The following is a 22,024-nucleotide window of genomic DNA, read 5'->3' on the forward strand; positions in this document are numbered from 1 at the left end:
CAGGGACAGGAAAGCCTCTGCAGGGCACAGCCAGGCACTGTGTCGCCCAGCAGATCTGGACACAAGGGCTGCGGGGCCAACCAGACACTCCACTGAGCATGCGGGCCAAGGAGGCCTCTGAGAGCTCAGTGAGAGGACACAGCTAGGAAGTGGCAGAACTGGAATCTGGATCCAGATCTGCCTGGCTCCAGAGTCTTTCTCTGGGAGAAATATTATGAAGCACTATTAGAGGGTGACCTTTGCCCCCAAACTCACTGTTCCTTAAGCCCACAGCCCAGACAGTCATGTTATTTGCTAAAAACAAAGCTTAGCAGTTTGATATGGATTCCATTTCATAAGAAGGCAGGAGGACGCTGTTGATAACACATGGTCTTTAGAGCCAGCGCAACTTAGCTCTGTCACTGCTTGCTGTGTGACCTTGGGCCAGTCACTTAACCTGAGGTTTGCTTTCATTTGTTAAAAAGTAATAATAGTTACCTTCTATAGTTATCTTGAAAACCACAAGAGACATGTTTATAAAATAATTAGAACAGTCTCTGGCACATGGTAAGTTTTCCAAAATATGCGGCTCTTATTCTAATAATATATTTTTCCTCTCTGTTATTGGGGATAAGTATAGCTTGATTGATATATACATGTGTATGTGTGTATGTATATATATAGCTCCACACATTTAAACCATAACAGCATCTTGTGGTGACTCAACCCGTCTGTCTGCTAAAAGAGAACAAGCCCCTGGCCCATTTCATGTGGTTGCTTTGAAGGATGATCATAAATGTGTTCATAAAGACCTCTGCCAGATGTCAAATCCTCATTCATGAAGCGTAGGATTCCTTCAAGACTGCACATCCAGCTGGGGACAGAGAAAATAAGAGATCACAAAGGGGTGTTTTGAAAATTTGCAGAAAAAAAAAAGAACCAACAAATAGGGGACTCTAACTACATCCCTTTAACCTGACTTTTGGTCCTTATTAAAGTCCATACTTTGAAGGTTTGAATTCACTGGACTGGGGGCTCATCTGATCCTCCCCAGGAACTCTGAGACATTGAGGCAGAAGTTTCTAGCCCACAGCATCCCTGGGGAAAATGGTGAAGGTGCTTTGGAATCAACACTCAGACCCCTGGGGTTTACAGCCGGGAGCCTGCCCCCAGGCCTGGCCAGGTGGTGGCTTAGCGGATGGGTGGGGAGCCACCCTCGGTAAGCAGAGTGCCAGGATGTGTGGCTTTCCCCAGGACTGAAGCTAAAGGCCTGCGAGGGTGGCTCTGCACACCCTGCCCCCTGCCTCTCCTTGGCTCAACTCCAGAGGCTTCTGGAATCAGCTCTTGTGGCCTGGGAAACAGAGCCTGGGCTATTTTGTCTTCTGATTTTTTTTTTTCACTTCATATTATTTTGTATCCTCATTTCCCTGTGTCACTGATAAAATTATAATAGTTAACATGCTCAGTGCTTATCATGTCGTGGGCAGGGGTCCAAGCACTTCACAAGAATTAACTCATTGAAGCCTAACAATGGCTCTACAGGCACCTAATCATCCCATTTTCTAGCTAAGGAAAGTGAGATATGGGGAAGATCATGCAGCTTCTGCAAGGCCGCTCAGCTAGATGGTGGCAGGACTGGGGTCCTAGCCCACGCTGAGGCTCCAGGGCCTGGGCCTGTACATGAAGTGGCCATGCAAGACGCTTACCACATGTCAGACATAGTTCAGAGGAGTGAATGGATTTAATCTGCCAAACGACCATGAGCATAGGAACCATTATTATCATCTGCTTGTCTCCATGGGGAAACTGAGGCAGTAGGGGGTTTAATATTTGCCCTTAGTTCCACTGCCAAGTGTTAGCCAGAACCTGCATGTTTAACCATCACGCTGTGCTTCCTGGTGGGGGGCTGCCTTTTCCCTGTTGCACCCTGTCTCTGGTTACCTAGGATTCTATTGCATCAATGTCATGATTGGCTCAACCGCCTTCTGCTGTGGGGCCTCTGAGCTGCCCTCGCTGCCCACGGGAGATCTTCACATCCTGCCCTCAATAGGCTTTCTAGAATGGGTCCTAGAGAGTTTTCTGGGTGGCTGTAAGCTCTTCCCTCTCCCTTCTTCCAGGTCCTGGGCACAGAAGGTAACATAAGGGGCCACCAGATATTATGGCCGAGAGGTGTCACAACACAGCCAAATGCCAACCTATTATTGAAGAGCAGTTTATCCCTGTCCAGCCTCTCAAGTGCCCTGGAGAGAAAGAGAACTTCAGGAAGGCCAAGACACACAACACCCCTCCCCCCAACCACATACACCCCTCTTCAGCTATACTGGGATGGTCAAGGCAATGGTCTGAGAATTGTCTTGTTTCCTGCCACCATCCTGTGAACCAAGAGCAGTAAACTTCTGAAGTCTCCATGCCAACCCCTGCAGCCTTCCAAATGGGCACCCAACTGGGTCTAGGACTCAGATTGCGACCCTGGTCTTGCCTAGGGACACCATGGGCTGTGCAGGTGGAGCTGAGACTCTTCGAAGATCACATTGCTATCTTAATCCTTTTGGCCTGAAGCCTCTGAAGGACTCTGTCACCCTGGGCAATCTTTTGAGGTCAAGGTGAGATGGGGGTATCTTGGGTTCTGCTCTGATTCTGCTAGCACGTCTTTGGCTCCTATCTCCCCCACTGCAAAATAAGGAGACTGTTAAAATACACCTAGATTTGACAGTATACTCCACTATTTCCCAAAGTGTATTCCATGGAACAATGAATTGCTTGAACCAGGGGTTCAACTAAGTCAACTAAGTTTGAGAAACATTGCATAGCCTGGTCCACTCATAGAGATCCACAATGCATACACTCTGAGTTGTTCCACTCTAAAGGTACCTAGTTAGCCTGACTTAACCCAGTATCTCCCATGTTTACTTAACCATGGAACACCTCTTTAAAAAGTAACATCTAATAAGCCTTAGGCAGGAAGTATGTGCAGAAATGCTGGCCTCTTCTGTCCCATGTCCTCTTCACTGAAGCCAGGCCCAGAACCAAGCCACCATGTCCCCCCACGGGGCACCTCTGCTTCCTGCCAGCGCCCTACCTCTCATACTGTGTGGTTCATTCAAACTGACGGCAATTTCTTCAGTAAATCCCATTCCCTTTGGTATCTCTGCCAGGCCGTGTGCTGTTCCTCTGTGGGCAGAGAGGTGAAGGAGACAGCCTTACCCTCTAGTAATGCAAGGCCTGAGGCATCCACAGACTGGCATAAGAGCCAGAAGGGAGAGCAAGGAGGGAGACTTAGACATTTCCATCCAGACATCAGGGAAGGCTTCCTGGAGGAGGTGGCCTGGGATTTGGGCCTTGATGACCTGGTAGAATTGGCTGGGAGCAATGGCTAGACATGGGGTGTCTTGGTCTGGCAGTTTCAGAGTGGTGTGGGGGAAGGGTGGAGAGGGTCCCGTGTCTTCTCTGTGATCTTGAGCACCCTGACTCCAAGCCTGAACCTACAAACTCCACTTAGCAAAGCAAAAGCCTTCCAATTAAATGGGCTCAGTCTCCTTAGAAGGGAACAGCCATCTTTTGCATCTTGATCCACCCCAAGTAGTTTACTGAAGTATTCCTTGCAAAATATGCAGTTTCGTCCTTAAGAAGAGGCCTGTTGAATATACTTTTTTTCTCTCTCTCTTTACATTCTGGTGATATTTTAGTGCTTCTTAGGAAATGGAGCCCACCCTACTCCTGAATTTAGCTGTAACATGAGAAAAAGAAATTGATGTCTCAGGTGTATGGACTTTTGTTCATACATTCTTTTTTTTTTTTTAACTTTTCACTTCTTTTATTTGCTAAAATAGTCGCATCCATATACGTGAAAAGATTTGACCATAATGCATTCATTCATTGTGGCTCTTGCCATCTCGTGGCATCCAGGATCCTGGCTGAAAGGTTTTACCAGTGCTGCTGGGAGCCACTGAGGGTTTTTCCTTTCCGAAGTATGGAGCAGAGGCACGGCCTTTAATTTGAGTTTGAACTGGTGGAGGCAGGAGTTCCTCACTGGTCTCTTTACTAAGGAGTTTTTCTTTTTCATAAAAATCTTGGCTTTTTATTTTGATTTCTTCTCTGTGTTTTTCATTCTTTAGTATTTCCTCCATAGTAGGTGGAGTCTTTCTTGTTCTTCTAATCCAAGCTTCCCATTCTGTTGGAATATCCCCTGTTTCATAGTCTACTTCTTTTTTATTTGCTGCTTCTACAATTCTTTTCTCTTGAATAGTTTGTCCTCTCCAGTTCTTGTTCTGCAGGATGTAGTAGTATTTGTTCCCGAATTGGTCCGTGCCCACGTGCTCCTTCACTTCCCTTGACAGCGATCTCCACAAGGCGCGGAACAAATCCTGAGACCAACCCATGCCGTCCACTCAGTTTCCAGCGCTGCCAGCAGTGGGACCCGCAGTAGGGGTAATGCTCCAGCCGCCGACCCAGCCCACCGAGGCGAGAAGTCAGGCCGGCCTCCAACCTCCATACATTCTTTTATTTTTTCAATCAACACTCTGTCACCCAGGCTGGAGTGCAGTAGCACGATCTTGGTTCACTGCAGCCTCTGCCTTCCAGGCCCAAGCAATCCTCCTGCCTCAGCCTTCCAAGTAACTGGGACCATAGGTGCATGCCAGCACGTCTGGCTAATTTTTGTATTTTTGTAAAAACGGGGTTTCCCCATGTTGCCCAGGCTGGTCTCAAACTCCTGAGCTCAAGTGATCTGCCCATCTTGGCCTCCCAAAGTGCTGGGTTTACAGGCGTGAGCCACCACACCCGGCCTCAATCAACATTTACTGAGCACCTACTTTGTTCCTGGTGCTGTGCTAGGGACCTACAGTGGCATCAAATATGTCCTTTTCCTTAGAGAAGCCCAAACTTGTGGGCCTCAGTAAGTCATGGCTCTTGCAGTAGTACATCAGTGAAGCTTCCAGGTGTCATGAATGGACTACTTGTGAGAAGCTGCTGTATCACTGTGTGAAACAGTACATTTATGAGGTCCTGTGGCTGCAAAGTGACAGAGTACACTCGGAGCTCCTGGGAGAGGTCTCTAGAGCAGTCCAGGCGCAGGGACAGCTCTTGGGAAGGAGATGGGTTAGGAGATAGGGGGTGAAAGGGCAGCCTAGCAGGGGAGCAGACTGCACAAAGACAATGGCATTTGCAACTGAGCTGGGATTGAGGCTGGAAGCTGCACAGGGCCCGGCTCATGAAGTGCCTCTCCAGCCAGACCTTTCCATCTGAACATGATCTTTTTCCTTTGCTGGAAACACAGTCTCACTCTGTCGCCCAGGCTGGAGTTCAGCGGTGTGATGTCGGCTCACTGCAACCTCCACCTCCTGGGTTCAAACGATTCTCATGCCTCTGCCTCCCGAGTAGCTGGGAACTACAGGCATGTGTCACCACACCTGGCTAATTTTTGTATTTTTAGTAGAGACGGGGTTTCACTGTGTTGGCCAGGCTGGTCTTGATCTCCTGACCTCAAGTAATCTGCCTGTCTCAGCCTCCCAAAGTGCTGGGATTATAGGTGTGAGCCACCACGCCCAGTCCTGAATGGGATCCTGAGGGCGTTTCACAGAGAGAGGGCTTGATGAAGTGTATGTTTTTAGGACGCTCCCTCTGGTTGTGGGCAGAGCGTAGGCGCCAGCAAGGCAGTTATTGCCAGGATGACCAGACTTTCTTGCCTGGAGCTGTCTGGAGATTGTTAGGACCCTGGGTTCTGGGGAGACCTTTGGGATGGGCCAGGGGCCTCCCCACTCCCTGCAGGCACTGTGCTCTACCCAGCAAGAACCTGCCAGGCAACGAGGACAGGGAGGACACAATTCCTGGGACATGGCGCCAACAATAGGTGCGGGCGCTGTCAGGGCATCTGCAGGAGGCTCCGGGACACTCCCTTCACGGTATCTGGGCAATTAATTATTTCTTATCTTGCTGGGTAAGGGGCTCACGTGGAAATCACTCCCATCCTTCTGTTCAAATGTTATGTTGCTATTTATTCTGAACAGGAAAGGAGCACAAAATAGCACTGCTTTTAGAATGGATGCCAAGTGGAGGGTTTTTTTGCTATCATTTCTGAGTTGTGAGAACAGGGAGGGTGGGGTGGTGTGGCCCTTTCTCTGGGGCTGTTGAGGTGGGGCAGGCACCCCCAGGGGTGTGCTCTGCGGAGGTACAACCTGATGAGTGGCTTCCTGCACCAACCTGGGGGATCTGGGAACCCAAAAGAGCCAGAGCCCCAGAACCTGCCTGCCCTTGGCATCGACCCTGGACAGTTCTTTCTTTGCAGGGAACAAGGCCTCCCTCTCCCGTCTCCAGAACAGGAGGGGAACCCTGGGAAGGCAGCATCGCTAACCCTTGTGGAGAGAGGTGAGAGCGAGCCTTTGGGGAGAGAATCTGAAGTAGGTCAGGCCTTCAGAGTCTTGGAGGGGCTGGAACAGGAGAAGGGCAGAGGGGCACAGGCACGCTTGGCTGGTTGCCTGGTGTCCAGCAGAGAATCCTGGGCCGGGAGCAGAGGACCCAGGCTTTGGCCCAAGCTCTGCCTGCTTGTGTGAGGCTGAGCTAACTAATCTGTCTTCCTGGCTTCACTTTCTTCATCTGTAAAATGGATCTTCCTCCTTCAACAAACATCCCAGGAAAAAGTATAATACGGTTCCTCTAACTTCCACACATAATAAAACATTCTCAAAGAGCAACCGTGCTGGGCATCTAGGGGAGATACCAGGAGGGTGGCATACGTGTTGGGAGGTCCCTGTGTCGCAGGCTTGCTGCAATTCACATCTTCCCAGAAACTGCAAGGAAACAGCCACCTTCTGGCCTTGACAGTTTCAGAATTTCAGAGGAGGGTCCCTGGATCCTTGGCAGCTGGGAGGAATTGACAGGCCCTGCGGTATGGGAGGTGGAGGCACGCCCAGGACGTCTGGCAGGAGGGTGGAAATCTGTCTGCCACACTGCTGAGGGTTCCCACCACCTCTATCTCTCTGAGCTTCAATTCCTTGATTTTTTAAGGTAAGGATAATAATGCTGGCCTCATGTGCCAGGGCAGGGGAGAAAAACTGAGAAGACAGAGGGGCCACGTTTACGCTGTTCATTGTTCTGTCCCTGGCGCCCAGTAGGCCTCCGTAAATGTTTGCTGAATGAATGCAAGTGAAGTGCATAGTTCAGGGACTGCTGTAGAATCAACGGCTGCTGCCATCAGTCCCCACACCCCTGCCCCCAGCTCCACGTCCACTGCCCTCTGTGGCAGCTACTGGCTCCGACATTTTGCACTCTCAGGGGGTCCTCACCTCACCCCAGCCCTGTATCCCGTCCAATTCAGCTTCACGGGTGGTGGGGAGCTGTCCATGCCTCTCACCATGCCTTGCTCTCTGCGGCTGCCAGAAGCCTCCATTGTTTGCCCCACCAGATGCCAAGGCGTGCTGTGAAAGCCGTCTCCCAAAAGGAAGCAGGGGTCTCTGGACTTCAGCCAGGGTCACCCACCGCTGCCTTGCCCTGCCCTGCCTGGTATTGTCTTCCTGCCCTAGGGTGGGGCCACATCAACGCCACTGGCTCTCTGCAGCACCAGCCCGACCCAGCCTTGTCCACTCCTCCCTGTCCTGCTGGGATGTGGGCTGCAACTGCCCCTTCTGGCTTGGGACAGGAGTTTCCCTCATGCATCTGTTTCTCCCACCCTCCCTCCACACCACGCCTTCTCCCCTAAAGCGAAATTGCTTACTTAGGAATGTGTAGGTCCCATCCCTGGCCTCTGGCTGGCCACTCTGCTCTGATTCCTACTATCTGCCCCCAGTTGGCTGCTTGAGGAGTGGTTCTTTTTTTTTCTTTTTTTTTTTTTTGAGAAAGAGTCTCTTTCTGTCGCCCAGGCTGGAGTGCAGTGGCGCCATCTCGGCTCACTGCAACCTCCGCCTCCTGAGTTCAAGCAATTCTCCTGCCTTAGCCTCTCGAGTAGCAGGGACTACAGGCACAAGCCGCCGTGCCCGGCCAATTTTTTTTGTATTTTAGTAGAGACTGGGTTTCACCGTGTTGCCCAAGCTGTTCGCGAATTCCTGAACTCAGGCAGTCTGCCTGCGTCAGCCTCCCAAAGTGCTAGGATTACAGGTGTGAGCCACCGCGCCCAGCCGAGGAGTGGTTCTTAACCCTTGCTACTAGCAGCCCTCTGGGGCTGAGAGAGCTCCCTCCTGGGAGCCTGTGGGCCTCCCCACTTGAGCAGGGCCCCAAAGACTCACCCAGGGACTTCTCCTCCTGCTACCATTTCTACCAATTGTTTGCAGCCTGCTCTTGTGTCCAGGGTGCTAGAGGGCACCTTTCTTGCCCACAACTGCCTAGCCCAACCTCCCACTGCATACATCCACTCTCCCACGCCCCTAGGAAGCCATTACTCACCTTCAGGACACAGCCCATGTGTTCATGTGTAGCATTTGTTCAACAAGAGCTTGTCAAATGGCTCCTACGGATAAGGTAAGGCGAGGTTGGACGGTGGGTCATTGGAAGCAGGTCGGCCCCAGTCCAGGGCTCTTACCCTTGGCTGTAGTGCCTGGATAGGTTGGGAGTCCACCTGGGAGCTTGAGTGCCCTTGCCAATGGTGAGGCCTGTCCTGGCCGTGGCTCCACCTGAGCCCCTGGGGTGCCAGAGCAACAACATGAGGCCCGAGGGGCCGACAAACACAGCTGGAGGAGGTTGGGAATACAGTATTAATGAGCACCTGATGTGTAACAGGGGGTAAAACCAGCCGTCTCTGCCCTCGTGTTGCTCACTACTGGGTGAGGAGAGGGAGGCAGCTGGAGCTGTGCCAGTTACTGATTCTGACGCTTTGCACACTCAGGGGGATCCATGCCTTGCCCCAGCCCTGAGGCCCTTCCCTTTGGAGCTTCAAAGTGAGCCCCAGGGGGATGGAGGAGGGAGCTCTGACTCCAGGGTGGGGACCAGGAAGCCCTCACAGAGGAGCTGGACTTGAACATTGCATTGGCTTTTGATAGTCAAAGATGAGGAAGGGCATTCAGGTGGAGGGAACAGCATTTGTGAAGGCTGGAGGTCAGGAGAGATGGCTACGTGGAGGTGTGAATAATCTGGGCTTTCCCGGTGGGGATTGGTAGGTGCAGAGGCTGGGAAATAGGGTGAGCAACCATCCTGGTTTCCTGGGACTGAGGGGCTGCCCAGGACACAGGACTTTCCGTGTGAAAACCAGGGAAGTCCTGAGTAAACTGAGATGAGTTGGTCACTGTACTGGGAAAGCTAAACTGGATTCGGAGACAAACAGGCTCTGCATATACTGGTAAAAGGTTTGGTGCCATGAAGAGTTATAGAAGGATATTTTGTAAGGGAAAGGGGAGGAAGCAGCAAGTACGTTCCATCGGGGTGCACGAGTGTCTGGACAGGTGGCTGGAGACCGATGACAGGAGTCTGGCAACGGGCGCCCGGGTCCTGAGTGCCCGGATCTGTGGCAGGGCTGAGTCTGCTGATTGTGGCCAGAAGGCTGTGGCCCTGGGGGCAGGAAGCCAGGCACATTGCTGTCCCATGCCTGTTACAAGGTGGCAGAGGCCCGCATGGTGCGGGCTCTGGTCTCACACCCCTGGCTTTGAGGCCATCCTGTGTCCAGTGTGCCCTTGGAGACAGCCTGTTGAGGATGGCATCCCCAATTTGGGACTGCAGTTATGCAGAGTGATACTCTCGTCTGCATGACTACCACGATGGTGATAACAGCTGGGGCCGGTGGGCAGTGGGCACCTCTATCTAGGGTGCTCTGCCTGGGTAGACTCCTCTGAGAACCCCACATTGACCCCACAAAGAGAAATGCTAGTGCTGGGTGTTCGGACTTCAGCCAGGGAGCTGTCAGTAGCTATGTCTAAGGTGTCTCAGCCTTTGTTAAAAAGCCAGTACAGGACCACCCTGGGCAACACAGGGACACCAAGTCTCTACAAAAAAAAAATTAAAAATTAGCTGAGTGTGGTGGTGCGTAAGCTACTCAGGAGGCTGAGGCCCAAGGATCACTTGAGCCCGGGTGGGGGGTTGGTCAAGGCTACAGTGAGCCGTGATTGCACCACTGCATTCCAGCCCTGACAGAGCAAGCGCCTATCTCAGAAAACAAACAAACAAACACAAACAAACAAAAGCCAACACAGGAGAAGGGGGCAGGATGGGGACTTTCTACTTCTCTCTACCCTTAGTGAGTATGCATTTTGCTAAGGATCAAGGATTCGTGCCCACCATGGACACCATAAGGAAGGGAGCGACTCCTGCAGGCTTCTTTGTGTAGCTTTAGGGTCTGGAAGGACCAATTCTGGCCAGAAACAACAAGACCTCTTTCTTGGGCATGAGGCTGTGGTAGGGGCTCCTCTAAGCCTCTTAAGAGGTACCTGGGGCCAGGTGCGGTGGCTCACGCCTATAATCCCAGCACTTTGGGAGGCCGAGGTGGGTGGCTCACCTGAGGTCAGGAGTTCGAGACCAGCCTGGCCAACATGGCAAAACCCCGTCTCTACTAAAAATACAAACAACTGGCTGGGCATGTTGGCAGGCACCTGTAATCCCAGCTACTCGGGAGGCTGAGGCAGGAGAATTGCTTGAACCTGGGAAGTGGAGGTTGCAGTGAGCCAAGATCATTGCAGCCTGGGCAACAGAGCAAGACTCTGTCGCAAAAGAAAAAAAAAAAAGGTACCTGGGAGGAGGGGAGTGGAGAGTTACTGGTTAAGGGGCAGAGTTTCTGTTTTGGAAATAGTGATGATGGTTTCACAACATTGTGAATGCAATTACTGCCACTTAATTATACACTTAAAGATGGTTAAAATAGCAATATGTTACGTATCTATTTTACCATAATTTAAAAAAAATTGTCAAGGTCATAAGAAGCAAGGAAACCCTGAGAAGTGGTCCCAGGTGAAAGGAGACCAAAGGACGTGACAACTAAATGCAACGTGGCAACCGGGATTGGGCCTAGGCAAGAAAAATGACACTGTAATGTCCCTTAAGGAAAAACTCTAAAATCCAAATAAAGTCTGTAGTTCAATTAATAGTATTGTTCCAATGTTAATTTCTTTGCTTTGACAAGTGTACCACGGTTATGTAAGACGTTAACACTAGCGGAAGCTGGGTGAGGGTACATGGGAACGAACTCTCTGTACTATCGTTGCAACTTGTCTGTAATGATTCCAAAATAAAAAGTTGAAAAACCCAAAGACAAACAAGGGCCAGGCCTGCCAAGAAGAGCTGGGACACGGGTTTGGCACCTGGGCCTTGGGCTCTGCCTGGAAAAAGCCAAGGAGTCCTGGAGCTGGCTCTCAGCTGGCAGGAGGACCTGCTGCCAACTCTGCAGAGATGGGCCAGTTCTGGAAAGATGAGACAGGTGGGCGTGGGAGCTCCAGGGTGGGCCGCAGGCAGTGCCTGAGCCCTGGCCATGGCTGCTCTGTGAGCTCTCTGCTGGTGTTTCAGTACTTTCCTAGGTTCAGCAGGATCTCAACTCTCCAAAGGGAGGGCTCTGCATCCCCTCTGGGTTGGCTTAGAAACCTGTGTCTGTCACTGAGGGCTCAGGCGGGCCCTGCAGGCAGATAAGGCCATGGGTCTGGCTGCAGCCCTCGCCTAGCCACACATGGACAACAGAGGGTTAACGGCCCTCTCCAGGTGCTGCTCCGTCCATCCAGACCCTGCACCCCAGGCTGTAATCACTGGAGGAGTTCTTCCTGCCCACTGCATGAAGAAAGGTCGTGGAATTGCAGTAAAGAAAGAATTGAACAGACCCAAGGCCCGCCGTGCCATGTGGGAGACAGAGTTAGTACTGAAATTATCTTCAAAGCTTGTAGGTTAGGGGTTTTTCAAAGGCAGTTTGGGGGAAGAGTTGGGGGTGGCCAGGTAACAGGTGCTTGCTGTTGGCAGAGATGAAATCTTAGGGGGTCGAAGCTGTCCTCCTGGGTGCTGAGTCACTTCTGGGTGGGGCCACAGGGGCAAGGTTGGCGGGTCCAGGTGGAGCCATGGGTGTCAGACATGCAAAAGGCCTGAAAAGGTATCTCGGAAGGCCGACCTTAGGTTCACAACATTGGCATTATTTGCAGGAGTAATTAGGGAAGTTGCCTGTCTTCTGACCTCTGGCATCGTGGCTGACAGTCTTTTATGTCTGCGCCTTAGCAGGAGTCAGGGCCCTCTACTCCCCCAGGCCTGATGGCCTCTCATTAGCTTTACAAAAGCAGCTGCGTTTTGGGACAAGGCCTGTTACCATTTAAACTACAGCCTAAATGTCTTCAAAGTTAGCTCGGCCCAATACCCAGGAATAAGGAAGGGAAAGGAAAGATTGGGGGTAGGTTAGCTGAGATCTCTTTCACTGTCATAATTTTCTCACTGATACCATTTTTGCAAAGGTGGTTTCAAGGCCTCCTCCAGAAGGCATTTCTGCTCACTCCACTCCCTGATCAGAGATGGCTCCCTAGTGCTGAAAATCAATTCAAACGTCGCCTGACACCTGTGTCTTTTCCGTCTTTTCCGGCCGCCTCCAGCCTTCTTTCTCTGCCTGGCTTCTCCCCGTGGGGTGGGCCCTCCATGCCTACCAGCTGACCAGATACACCAGCCCCAAAGGGCCAGCTTCACTCAGGACCTTTGCTCCTGTGGTGTTTTGTTTTGTTAATCTCCACAATATTCAAATTCTGTTTCTCAAGGTCCAGGTGAAACTCCAGGGTCCGTGGATCTTTCCTGGCATTTGCGACTGGCCTATCTGGGGTCATTGCTTTGTCTTCACGCTCGTCTCCCACAAGTCTGTTAGGTCCCCTTTCTCTCACTCCCTGGAGCTCAGCTCAAGCCCTGGCACAAGGGAGATCTTGTTAAGGAGTGACGTGTTTGGTGTGTTAGCAGGCATCTATCTGAAAATGCTCTCGACCCTGGGCTCAGCCAAGCCCTGAAGGCAACAAGATACCATCCCTCCTGCCCAAGTGTTTGGCTGAGTCCACGCTTGGCTGAGGACAGAGCCCTGAAATATCTCCCAGGCCCCTCATGGGAGCAGAAGGGAGCCACTGTACCAGCTGGTGGCACCAGCCCATGCACCTGCTCACCCTTGAGCAGGAGCACGTCTTTGACCCCAGGAAGAACAGGAGGCAGGAGAGACTGTCCCCAGGGTGGGAGCTTTCCTGATGGTGGCTGCAGGGACCCCCTGGGCACAGAAGCCAACAGTGATGGTGGCCTGATCAGCTTGTGTTGCTCGGCCTCTGCCCCTGAGCTGGGCCCGCTGGGGGAGTCAGGGGAAATGTGGCAGCTCCCTGTGGGCTGGGGATTAGGGGAAAACAAACAGGTGGAATAACAGACAGCAAGGACCTTTGGTTCTCCCTCCTCCTGGGGCCCCTCCCCTTCCCGGTCATCTGGGTTTCCATTTTCACAAAGGTCTCACCCACAGTTTCTCTGCCCACACCATGAGCCTGGGCACAGGCAGGTCAGTGTCCTGAGATGCACCTTCCCAGCACAAAGGGGTCATGCAGCCCTCACTGGCCACGGAGTTCTGAGGGCAGGCAGAGGTTCTTAGAGTGGACTCCTGTCCCCAGTCACTTACTGGAGAAAAAAAGGTTAAGACAGGGAGGGGAAAAAAACTGTAAACGAGTATTTAGTGAGTACTTACTACATGCGAGGCACAGTGCCAGACACTTCTCACGTGGGTTTCCTTGACTCTCACCGCAAACTGCAAAGTTAGTGTGGTTCTCCCCATTTTGCAGATCAGGAGATTAAGGCTGAGTGTGGCTAAGGCAATGACTGCCTAGATATATCAGAACCAGGGATTAGACTCCTATGTCTGCTGACTCCAGATTTGATCTTCTTTCCTCTGCACTAGGGCAGGAGGGGAGGTGGGGAGCATCTACCTCCCCAGGCCAGGGGCAGTGTCCAGGCTGAGGGACATTCTGTGCTTCCAGGAGCTCCAAGTGACAGGACAGAGGGCACACTTGGTGATGTCATTCTCTGGAAGGGCACAGAATATGTTTGTGAGATCAAAGATCTTACAGATGGAGGGGCAGGGCTGGGTGGAGGAGGAGAAGCCCCGGTGAGTCACGCTGGGAAGACAGCAGCCCTGGGTACTGGCTGAGCCTCCTTGGAGCCCCCCACCCCTTCTCCCACACTCCATCATAAGGTTCCTCACTCATGGCTTTGTCCCTGGAGAAACCACACCCATCCCAGTAGAGGCCTGGATGTGGACTCTCCCCTCTGTCCCTCTCCATACCTGGCACCCTTTAGGGCTTGCCTTGGTCTCCCCACACCTCCACTCCCTTGGAAGACACTCCTGTGGGTGGCTGGGGCTCGCTCCCGCCTCAGGAAACCGCCTCACCGTGAGTCAGCAGCACACCATGGTCTCCAGGGCGGGTCTCCCTGGTGGTCTTCTCATTCTCTGGTCCCCACGGCAGGAGGCATGGGTAAGCTTGGGGCTCAGCACATGACAGAGAGCAGGCTGGGGCCGGGGTTCTTTGAGAATCCTGGGCATAGATGAATGAGCCTCATGTGGGAGGTCCCGGCTGGAGTCCAGGCAGGCCGGGACACTCCGGCTCCTCACTGAGCCCTGGCCTGGGTGCAGACCGTCATGTGCCTGTGGGTACAGCCTCTACGCTGAGCCTCACTTCCCCAGGCCAGAGAAGAGGGTGAGCCCAGAACATTCTGTGACTACAGGCTGTGCCGGCTGTGACCGTGCAAAGCGACCAGTGTGTTTCCAGTCACACACTGAGTAATCTAGAAAGCAGTAGCCACCCCACCAGCTTTCTTCTTAGAAATCTCCCAGCAAGCTGTCGGCTGCCTCTCCCTTAGAAACGGGGCTCTAGCAAGACACGAAGTGTGTCCACTGGAGGCAACCCTGAGGTCCCTGGGCCACGAGCAGTTTGCGGGCGGCCTGAGGAGGCAGGCAGAGCTTCCCCCAGGCTGGAGGGGCCGTCTGCGGGCACTGGGGCTGGCAGGGAGCATTTCAGTGGCCCACAGCCCTCGTCCCTGCCACGGGCTTCTGCTCCTGCCCCAGAGCCCCTTTCTTGAGAAGCACTCCTGTGCCCCGTGCTCTCTTCGTGTTTTACGTAATTTCATCCAGTGTACACCCTGCTGCGGTCTCCCTGCAGGCTAAAGGGATCACTTTGAAGACTCTAACCCTTTATTCCTTGTCTTGGGTGTCGAGGAAGGTGTCAGCCAGACCACAACCGTGCTCGCCTATTCACTCAGCAAGTGCCTGAGGGGAAGGGGGTGTCGCCAGGGAATGAAAGACTCAGCATTGGTGCCCTGGGGAGCTCCAGGGGGCAAAGTCAGGTGTACAAATAACTCCACAGCAACAAGGGTGACAAGGGCCTGGCCAGGATGCAAGCACAGGCATACGTGACAGGGAGGGAGAAGTTTGGCAGGCTTCCTGGAGGAAGGGGCATTTGGCTGACACTCGAAGGACCGACAAGATTGCCACACCTGGCATTTCTGTCTTGAATATTGAAAGAGGAGCAGGCTGAGTCAAGTCCCTGGCAGATGGAGCAGCTGCAGAGGGGGAGCGGGGAGCCCCAGACTGTGTTGAGCAGGACCTGGTTCATTGGGAGATAATGAGGATTGTGGGATATCATGAAACACTGTGTGAAAATGCCTGGCCTGCCGTGGAACCCACAGGCAGTGCTGAAGTAATGCTTACTTAAGCCTGAAACTAGTGATCACCTTGCGGGCAGATGCTGGTAGCCCAACCGCACTGGTCTGAGGGGATGGTGAGACATCAAACACCCGCCGCACAGCATGATCTCTGAAACGCTCTCCTAGGAAGGGATGACCATTGCGCCTCTTCCCCATGGTGACTAGAACTGTTAGTGTCTGTCGGGGGATGCAGCCATTGGCCCAGACCCCAGAGAGCAGCACGTGCAAACCTTCCCGGGTGTGGAAAGGTGGAGGCCATGCCCAGGCTCATGGAGCTCACCAGAGCAGGCTCAACCCTCCTAATCCCCGCTCCAGTCCCCTTCCTGGCAGATTCCTTTCTGTGTCCTGACTGAAGGCAAACTGGAGCCTATATGTACCTCAAGAGGAACAATTCGTGTTCATTCAATGATGTCTGTTTAGACTTTTCTCCTCAGAGCCACTTGTCAATCAGGCCTTCTGCCCCATCCAAAGGGGACACTGAAGAGTCCTAGGGTTCCAGCTCCTATATGTGCAGCATCGAAGGACACAGATGCTCTTCACTGTCCCTGACAACAGAGCCAAAGCTTTTACTTCAACCCACAAGTAGCTTCTGAAGCAGAGGCACAAACAGATGGGTTCTTGCAGTAATTCCTTTCTGATCTCTGCACAGCCGCTAGCCCGGGCAGGCCTTCGTCCTGACAGGCCCAGGTATAGGACTGCCCAGCAGGTGGACAACGAGCTGGGAGTGGTGGGAAGAACTGAGGGAGGGAATTCTGGCAGGATAAAGCCACCTTTCCTCAGGCTGATAGCACACTGAGGCCTGGGGTCTCCACTGCCTGTGGTTAGGGGTTTGGGCACAGTGCAGGGAATTTCACAACAGCCATTTTGTGGGAGCTGATGGGGGGCTGCTGAGAACCTCTACTCCAGCTCCTGGTGTGAGTGAGGAATCTGAGTCCCAGGGAGAGGCCGTGCGTGTGGAGTTCCCCAGGGCGTTAGTGATGGCACTGTCCCTAGGCCATGGCTCCTCCGCACAGCATACATCAAGCTGTCTCTGAATTTGAGGTGGGGGGGATTGAAAGTCGGTGATTTGCAAACACGTATTTATGAGTGCCCTGGTCAGAGCCCGATCACTGAGCCCCTTCTGCGTGGCCAACCCAGCTTTTCTTGTCTCCGAGTTTGCCTGCGAAGCCCACCCACCATGTCTCCAGGCCTCAGTCCCGGTTCTCCTCACCCCTGACTAGGTCTAACACTCGCCACACGTGGGGCATCTCCCCGTGCAGATATGATGCTGGCCCTGGGCACGTGGGCATGAGCCAGACACAGTCCACCCTCAAGGGCTCTGATCTGGTCGGAGGGTCAGGTGGGAGGGTCAGCCTCCCTATGGCATCTGTACCTCTGGGTCTATCAGGGACACGTCAGGGACACAGATGTGTCCAAACCTGGACAGGGGAGGCGGGCAGGGAGGACCCTTCTCTGAGGGTGCCGCTGGTGCCTGCCTCTGACTCCTTGGCCTGTGCTCGTTCTGCAGGAGGCATTCTTCCGTCCACTGGGGCAGGGAGATGGATGGGGGAATTGTTCTTTGACTCAGAGACCACCCAACACTCTGAAGCCAGGTCTACAAAATTACCATCAGCCTTGCTGCAGCCTGCCTCAGGTTGGATGCCCAAGAAGATATAGGGGATCTGGGGGCACAGATGGGAGGTGGAAGTGGAGAGACCACACCCTGCTCCTCGTGGCTCCTGGCCAAGTTGGTGATATGTGACCTCATCTCACAACACTAGAGATGAGGAGATCCCACCCATCCAGGCTATAGGCTGGTGGGAAGTCCACATAGGGAAGATCTTTCAAAAGGAGGAGGAGTTTGGACCCAGGCTTCCCAGACTCTGGGGGCATAGATGAAGCGGGGAAGCTACTGCAGAGGAAGGAAGGCATGGGCAGGTGGGCAGAGGTAGGCTCTCGCTGGGATATATGAGCCAGGAGAATCCCATTGTACTACGCGGCCCGAGCAGCTCCTGGGCTGTCTTGCCACGAAGGCGGCGTCATTACCTCCAATTCACAGATGATGGAAGCAAGCACAGAGAGGATAGATGATCCACCCTGGGGCTCAGAGCCAGCAGCCAGAAGAAATCAGCATCTCAGCCGAGAAAGGAGAGAGCTCCCTGGAGAAGACACTAAAGGCGGCTGCGATGCCCTCTGGGCCTGACTGTGAGAAGCCTCTGAAGTCAGACCAGGGGATTCTCATAGTCGACTGCATACCCCACCCCTCTCCTGTAACTGAAATGGCCAGCTCCTCCAGGGACACTCCCTTTTGCTACTAGATTTGTCTTTGCTTCTGGAGGGACTTGAGGGAGCAGCTGGTACAGGGGCATGAGCACAGCCCTGGGCTTTCACTCTGGGCTCCAGCACTCCTTAGCTGGGTGGTCCTGACAAGATCATTTCAGCTCTCTGATCTTCAGTTTCTTCACTGTAGCAAGATCTAATAATACATTGCAGTTGCTGCAAGGATTAGAGGTACTTACTATATGCAAAGTACTGGACATATGAGCATGCACAGTGGTGAGGAGCTATTAATGTTATGTCAGCTGCTGGCTGCAGCCGCCTCCTCCCCAGCAGTCCTGGCTCCAACCACCCAATCGCCTCTGAGGGGATTGCTCCAAACTTTGCTAACGCTGCAGAATAAAGGCGAATTTCCCAGGGATTTGTGGCAGGCCTCTATGGTCTGGAAGGTGCCCTGGACATAAGGCAATCAAGTGGCTTCCCTGGTCCAGCATCTTACACATTTTACCCAGCCTCCGAAAGAAGCTGGTGGAGACAGCTGGTCCCGCAGCGTTCCCTCTCACAGGAGCTATTAGCTGTGTCATGCACCCATTTGTAATGAAATGGAAGCATTTTGATTTATCGGGGAAGCCGGATTTTCTCCCAAATCCTTGCTGCTTTCATCCTTGGCCATGAAATAGTCCATTCTAATCTCATATGAAGGGGCAACAGTTACAAGGAGCCCATGAAATCTGATCATCGACTGGGCTCCCAGCGGCAGCTTTGATCGCTGGGAGGGAGCAAGTCATCCTCAGCTTGGCGCTAATAGCCCCATGCATTATTGAAGAGCCAGTTTTCAGTGGCAGACACATACAGAGAGACATCCAGAGTGCAAGCTGGAGTGTCAGCTGCTTCCCTCACTCCTCAGTGATGGAGTCTTGTAATCCTGCAGAGCCACCAAAAACAGGCCCCTGACAGGGCTGTCTGTGCAGCTCAACACACCCTCATTGGAGGGCAGCTGACGTGGAACAAGCAAATAAGGTGAAGCCACTGCTTTCCAGTTCCCTCAGTTGGTGTTCCTCTGATCCAAATGTCTGAGGCATGAACGGCTGCCCGGGGAGCATCCTCAAGAAATGCACACTCAGTGACAAGGGTGCATGCGGAGGCCAGAGCTGACTGCAGCCAGGGCTGTGGCCTGATGGTGTTCCCTTAACCTTCTGAGTAGGGCTCTGATACTCAGTCTTTGGGGCCATGAGAGGCAAGGCAAAAAATGGGACTTAGTTATTGCTGAGACTTTGCTGGAAATGGTAAAAGGGGTGGGGAGGCTCACTGTTATCGGGGAACCTGCCCCTGATAGTCACGTAGGTTCTTTTCTATTTTCCCTAAGCATTGGCTGGGTTGAGAAATAAAGGGACAGAGTACAAAAGAGAGAAATTTTAAAGCTGGGTGTCCGGGGGAGACATCACATGTCGGTAGGTTCCGTGATGCCCCCTGAGCCATAAAACCAGCAAGTTTTTATTAGGGATTTTCAAAAGGGGAGGGAGTGTATGAATAGGGTGTGGGTCACAGGGATCACATGCTTCACAAGGTAATAAGATATCACAAGGTAAATGGAGGCAGGGCGAGATCACAGGACCACAGGACCGGGGTAAAATTAAAATTGCTAATGAAGTTTCTGCATGCATTGTCATTGATAACATCTTATCAGGAGACAGGGTTTGAGAGCAACCGGTCTGACCAAAATTTATTAGGCAGGAATTTCCTCATCCTAATAAGCCTGGGAGTGCTATGGGAGACTGGGGCTTATTTCATCCCTAGAGTTTCGACCATAGAAGACAGCCACACCCAAGGGGGCCATTTTAGAGGCCTATCCTCAGGGGCACATTCTCTTTCTCAGGTATGTTCCTTGCTGAGAAAAAGAATTCAGCGATATTTCTCCCATTTGCTTTTGAAAGAAGAGAAATATGGCTCTGTTCTGCCCAGCTCACCGGCGGTCAGAGTTTAAGGTTATCTCCCTTGTTCCCTGAACATTGCTGTTATCCTGTTCTTTTTTCAAGGTGCCCAGATTTCATATTGTTCAAACACACACGCTCTACAATTTGGGCAGTTAACACAATCATCACAGGGTCCTGAGGCGACATACATCCTCCTCAGCTTACGAGATGACAGGATTAAGAGATTAAAGTAAAGACAGCCATAGGAAATCACAAGGGTATTGATTGGGGAAGTGATAAGTGTCCATGAAATCTTCGCAATTTATGTTTAGACATTGCAGTAAAGACAGGCATAAGAAATTATAAAAGTATTAATTTGGGGAACTAATAAATGTCCATGAAATCTTCACAATCCATGTTCTTCTGCCATGGCTTCAGCCAGTCCCTCCGTTCGGGGTCCCTGACTTCCTGCAACACACTGTGCCCATCCTCACTGTTTGAATTGAATAATCTAATCAAACCCTTTTCATTTATCAAAATTGTTATTTGAATGTCTACAGTGTGCTGGGCCCTGAGTGAAGCACTGAAGATACAGCAGTGAACAAGGACAGATGGGATTTTCAGCCTTCAAGATGGCCATGGATGATCCCTTTCTCATTGTATTCATGCACTTATATAGCCCCTTTCCACATCGAATTAGGTTGACCTTTGTAATCAAGAGAACATTCTGGAATGATGAAGTAGTATGCCTGAAGTGAGGTCATTAGAAACATTGTGAGTTCTTGTTTTCTGGGGGAAGCCAGTGGCCATGTTGTGAGGGTACTCAAGCAGCCCTATGGAGAAGCCCATGTGACCATTTTGGAAGTGGATCTTCCAGCCCCAGTCAAGCTTTCAGATGACTTTAGCCCTGGCCAACATCTTGACTGCAACCTCATGAGTGATCCTAACCCAGAATCACTCAGCAAAGCTGCCCTCAAACTCCTGTCCAATAGAAGCTGTGAGATAATAATTTGTTGTTTTAAGCTGCCATGTTTTGGGTGTAATTTGTTACACAACAATACATAGCTAATGCACAGGTCTTCAGTGAGTATCAGTCTGTTGGAAAATTAGTTATTGATTTTAAAACTCACACCAATAGCTATAAAATTGCAACTATGAAAATGGCTATAAATGGCTCTATTGGGAGGAGCTGACCTAGTCAGAGAGGTTACAAAAGGATTCCTCGAGAGAGTAATGGCTGATCTGAGGTGGAAGTAGAAGAAGGTGGGAAAGAGTATTCAGGTTGGGGAGCAGCTTGAGCCAAGGCCCTGGGTTGGGAGGAGCCAACCCAGGCACAGGAGGTAAGCAAGGAGGAGCTGAAGTGCAGGGAGGGAATGGCATGCAGGCGGGGCTGGAAATGCAGAAGGAATCTATTGCTATTCAGCCTAAGTGCAATGGGAGCCACCAAAGCATCTTAACGATGGACGGCATACTTGGATCTGGGCTTTCAAAGCTTCCTTAGTTTCTGTGGAGCATGGTTTGGAGATGTGAGGGTAAATGGGGGCATCACAGGAGCCCAGTAGAGGGGTGGGGTGTTCAGAACCAGGTGTTATTCATGGACATGGAGAAGGTGGAGAGACTGAGAACTATTTATAAAGTTAGACTGATGGTGCTTGTTGCCTAAATGGCCATGGGAAGTAAAGGAGAGAGAGGTTCACAGGATAAGTTTTAGATCACACAACTGTGGATGGGCTGGGGGTTGGACCAGTCTGAGAGACTCTAGAGAAATGCACTTCATGGGGTCATGGGCTGGGGCGAGCCTGATACTCTGTCCAGGTGGTACCAGCAGTCCTGAGGCCATGGGCATGTCCACCTCCTGCCTTTGGGCATGGCTCTGTCCTGTCAGAACTCACAGGCTGCACCAGACTGAATTGTGTCTCCCCAAATTCATATGGTGAAGCCCCAGCCCCTAATGTGAAGGTATTTGGAGATGGGGCCTTTGAGGGGTGTTAGGTTTTGATGAGGCTATGAGGATAGGACCTTCGTGATGGGATTAGTGCCCTTAGAAGAAACCAAAGAGCTTGCTCTCCCTCTCGCTCCATGTGAGGACACAGTGAGAAGGTGGTTGCCTGCAAGCCAGGAAGAGGGCTGTCACTAAGAACTGAATCGGGGGCACTCAGATCATGGGACTTCCAGCCTTCAGAGCTCTGAAAAATCAATGTGTTGTCTAGGCCACCCAGTCTGGGGTAGTTTGTTATGGCGGCCCTGAGCAAGACATGGTCTGAGGGAGTGGGTGAGATGCTCCCACAGAA

General features: G+C 52.0%; 1 long non-coding RNA gene and 1 pseudogene across 3 annotated transcripts, besides 4 other annotated features; both read right to left on the minus strand.

The window, feature by feature from the left end:
- Positions 1 to 547: 547 nt before the first annotated feature.
- Positions 548 to 14,549, minus strand: LOC102724948 (uncharacterized). Of its 3 annotated transcripts, XR_001739319.2 has the most exons (4): positions 14,252 to 14,549; positions 13,553 to 13,887; positions 8,353 to 8,636; positions 548 to 853 (listed from the first exon to the last, which is right to left on the minus strand). It is a non-coding gene; the product is annotated as an uncharacterized LOC102724948 (long non-coding RNA). The 3 variants fall into 3 exon arrangements; XR_939794.3 differs by lacking the exon at positions 8,353 to 8,636; XR_007086242.1 differs by having other exon boundaries at positions 8,353 to 13,887.
- Positions 3,778 to 4,409, minus strand: NDUFAF2P1 (NDUFAF2 pseudogene 1; annotated as a pseudogene).
- Positions 6,758 to 7,755: an enhancer, noted in NCBI's record as "H3K27ac-H3K4me1 hESC enhancer chr2:20732136-20733133 (GRCh37/hg19 assembly coordinates)". NCBI's record gives its function as "activates a minimal SCP1, AML or CMV promoter by ChIP-STARR-seq in naive H9 embryonic stem cells {active_cell/tissue: H9 hESC(naive)}" and the evidence as "EXISTENCE:reporter gene assay evidence [ECO:0000049][PMID:30033119]".
- Positions 8,753 to 9,750: an enhancer, noted in NCBI's record as "H3K27ac-H3K4me1 hESC enhancer chr2:20734131-20735128 (GRCh37/hg19 assembly coordinates)". NCBI's record gives its function as "activates a minimal SCP1, AML or CMV promoter by ChIP-STARR-seq in naive H9 embryonic stem cells {active_cell/tissue: H9 hESC(naive)}" and the evidence as "EXISTENCE:reporter gene assay evidence [ECO:0000049][PMID:30033119]".
- Positions 16,131 to 17,116: an enhancer, noted in NCBI's record as "H3K4me1 hESC enhancer chr2:20741509-20742494 (GRCh37/hg19 assembly coordinates)". NCBI's record gives its function as "activates a minimal SCP1, AML or CMV promoter by ChIP-STARR-seq in naive H9 embryonic stem cells {active_cell/tissue: H9 hESC(naive)}" and the evidence as "EXISTENCE:reporter gene assay evidence [ECO:0000049][PMID:30033119]".
- Positions 17,117 to 18,101: an enhancer, noted in NCBI's record as "H3K4me1 hESC enhancer chr2:20742495-20743479 (GRCh37/hg19 assembly coordinates)". NCBI's record gives its function as "activates a minimal SCP1, AML or CMV promoter by ChIP-STARR-seq in naive H9 embryonic stem cells {active_cell/tissue: H9 hESC(naive)}" and the evidence as "EXISTENCE:reporter gene assay evidence [ECO:0000049][PMID:30033119]".

Source organism: Homo sapiens, chromosome 2 (genome assembly GCF_000001405.40).
Source record: "Homo sapiens chromosome 2, GRCh38.p14 Primary Assembly".
Classification (NCBI taxonomy): Eukaryota; Metazoa; Chordata; class Mammalia; order Primates; family Hominidae; genus Homo; species Homo sapiens.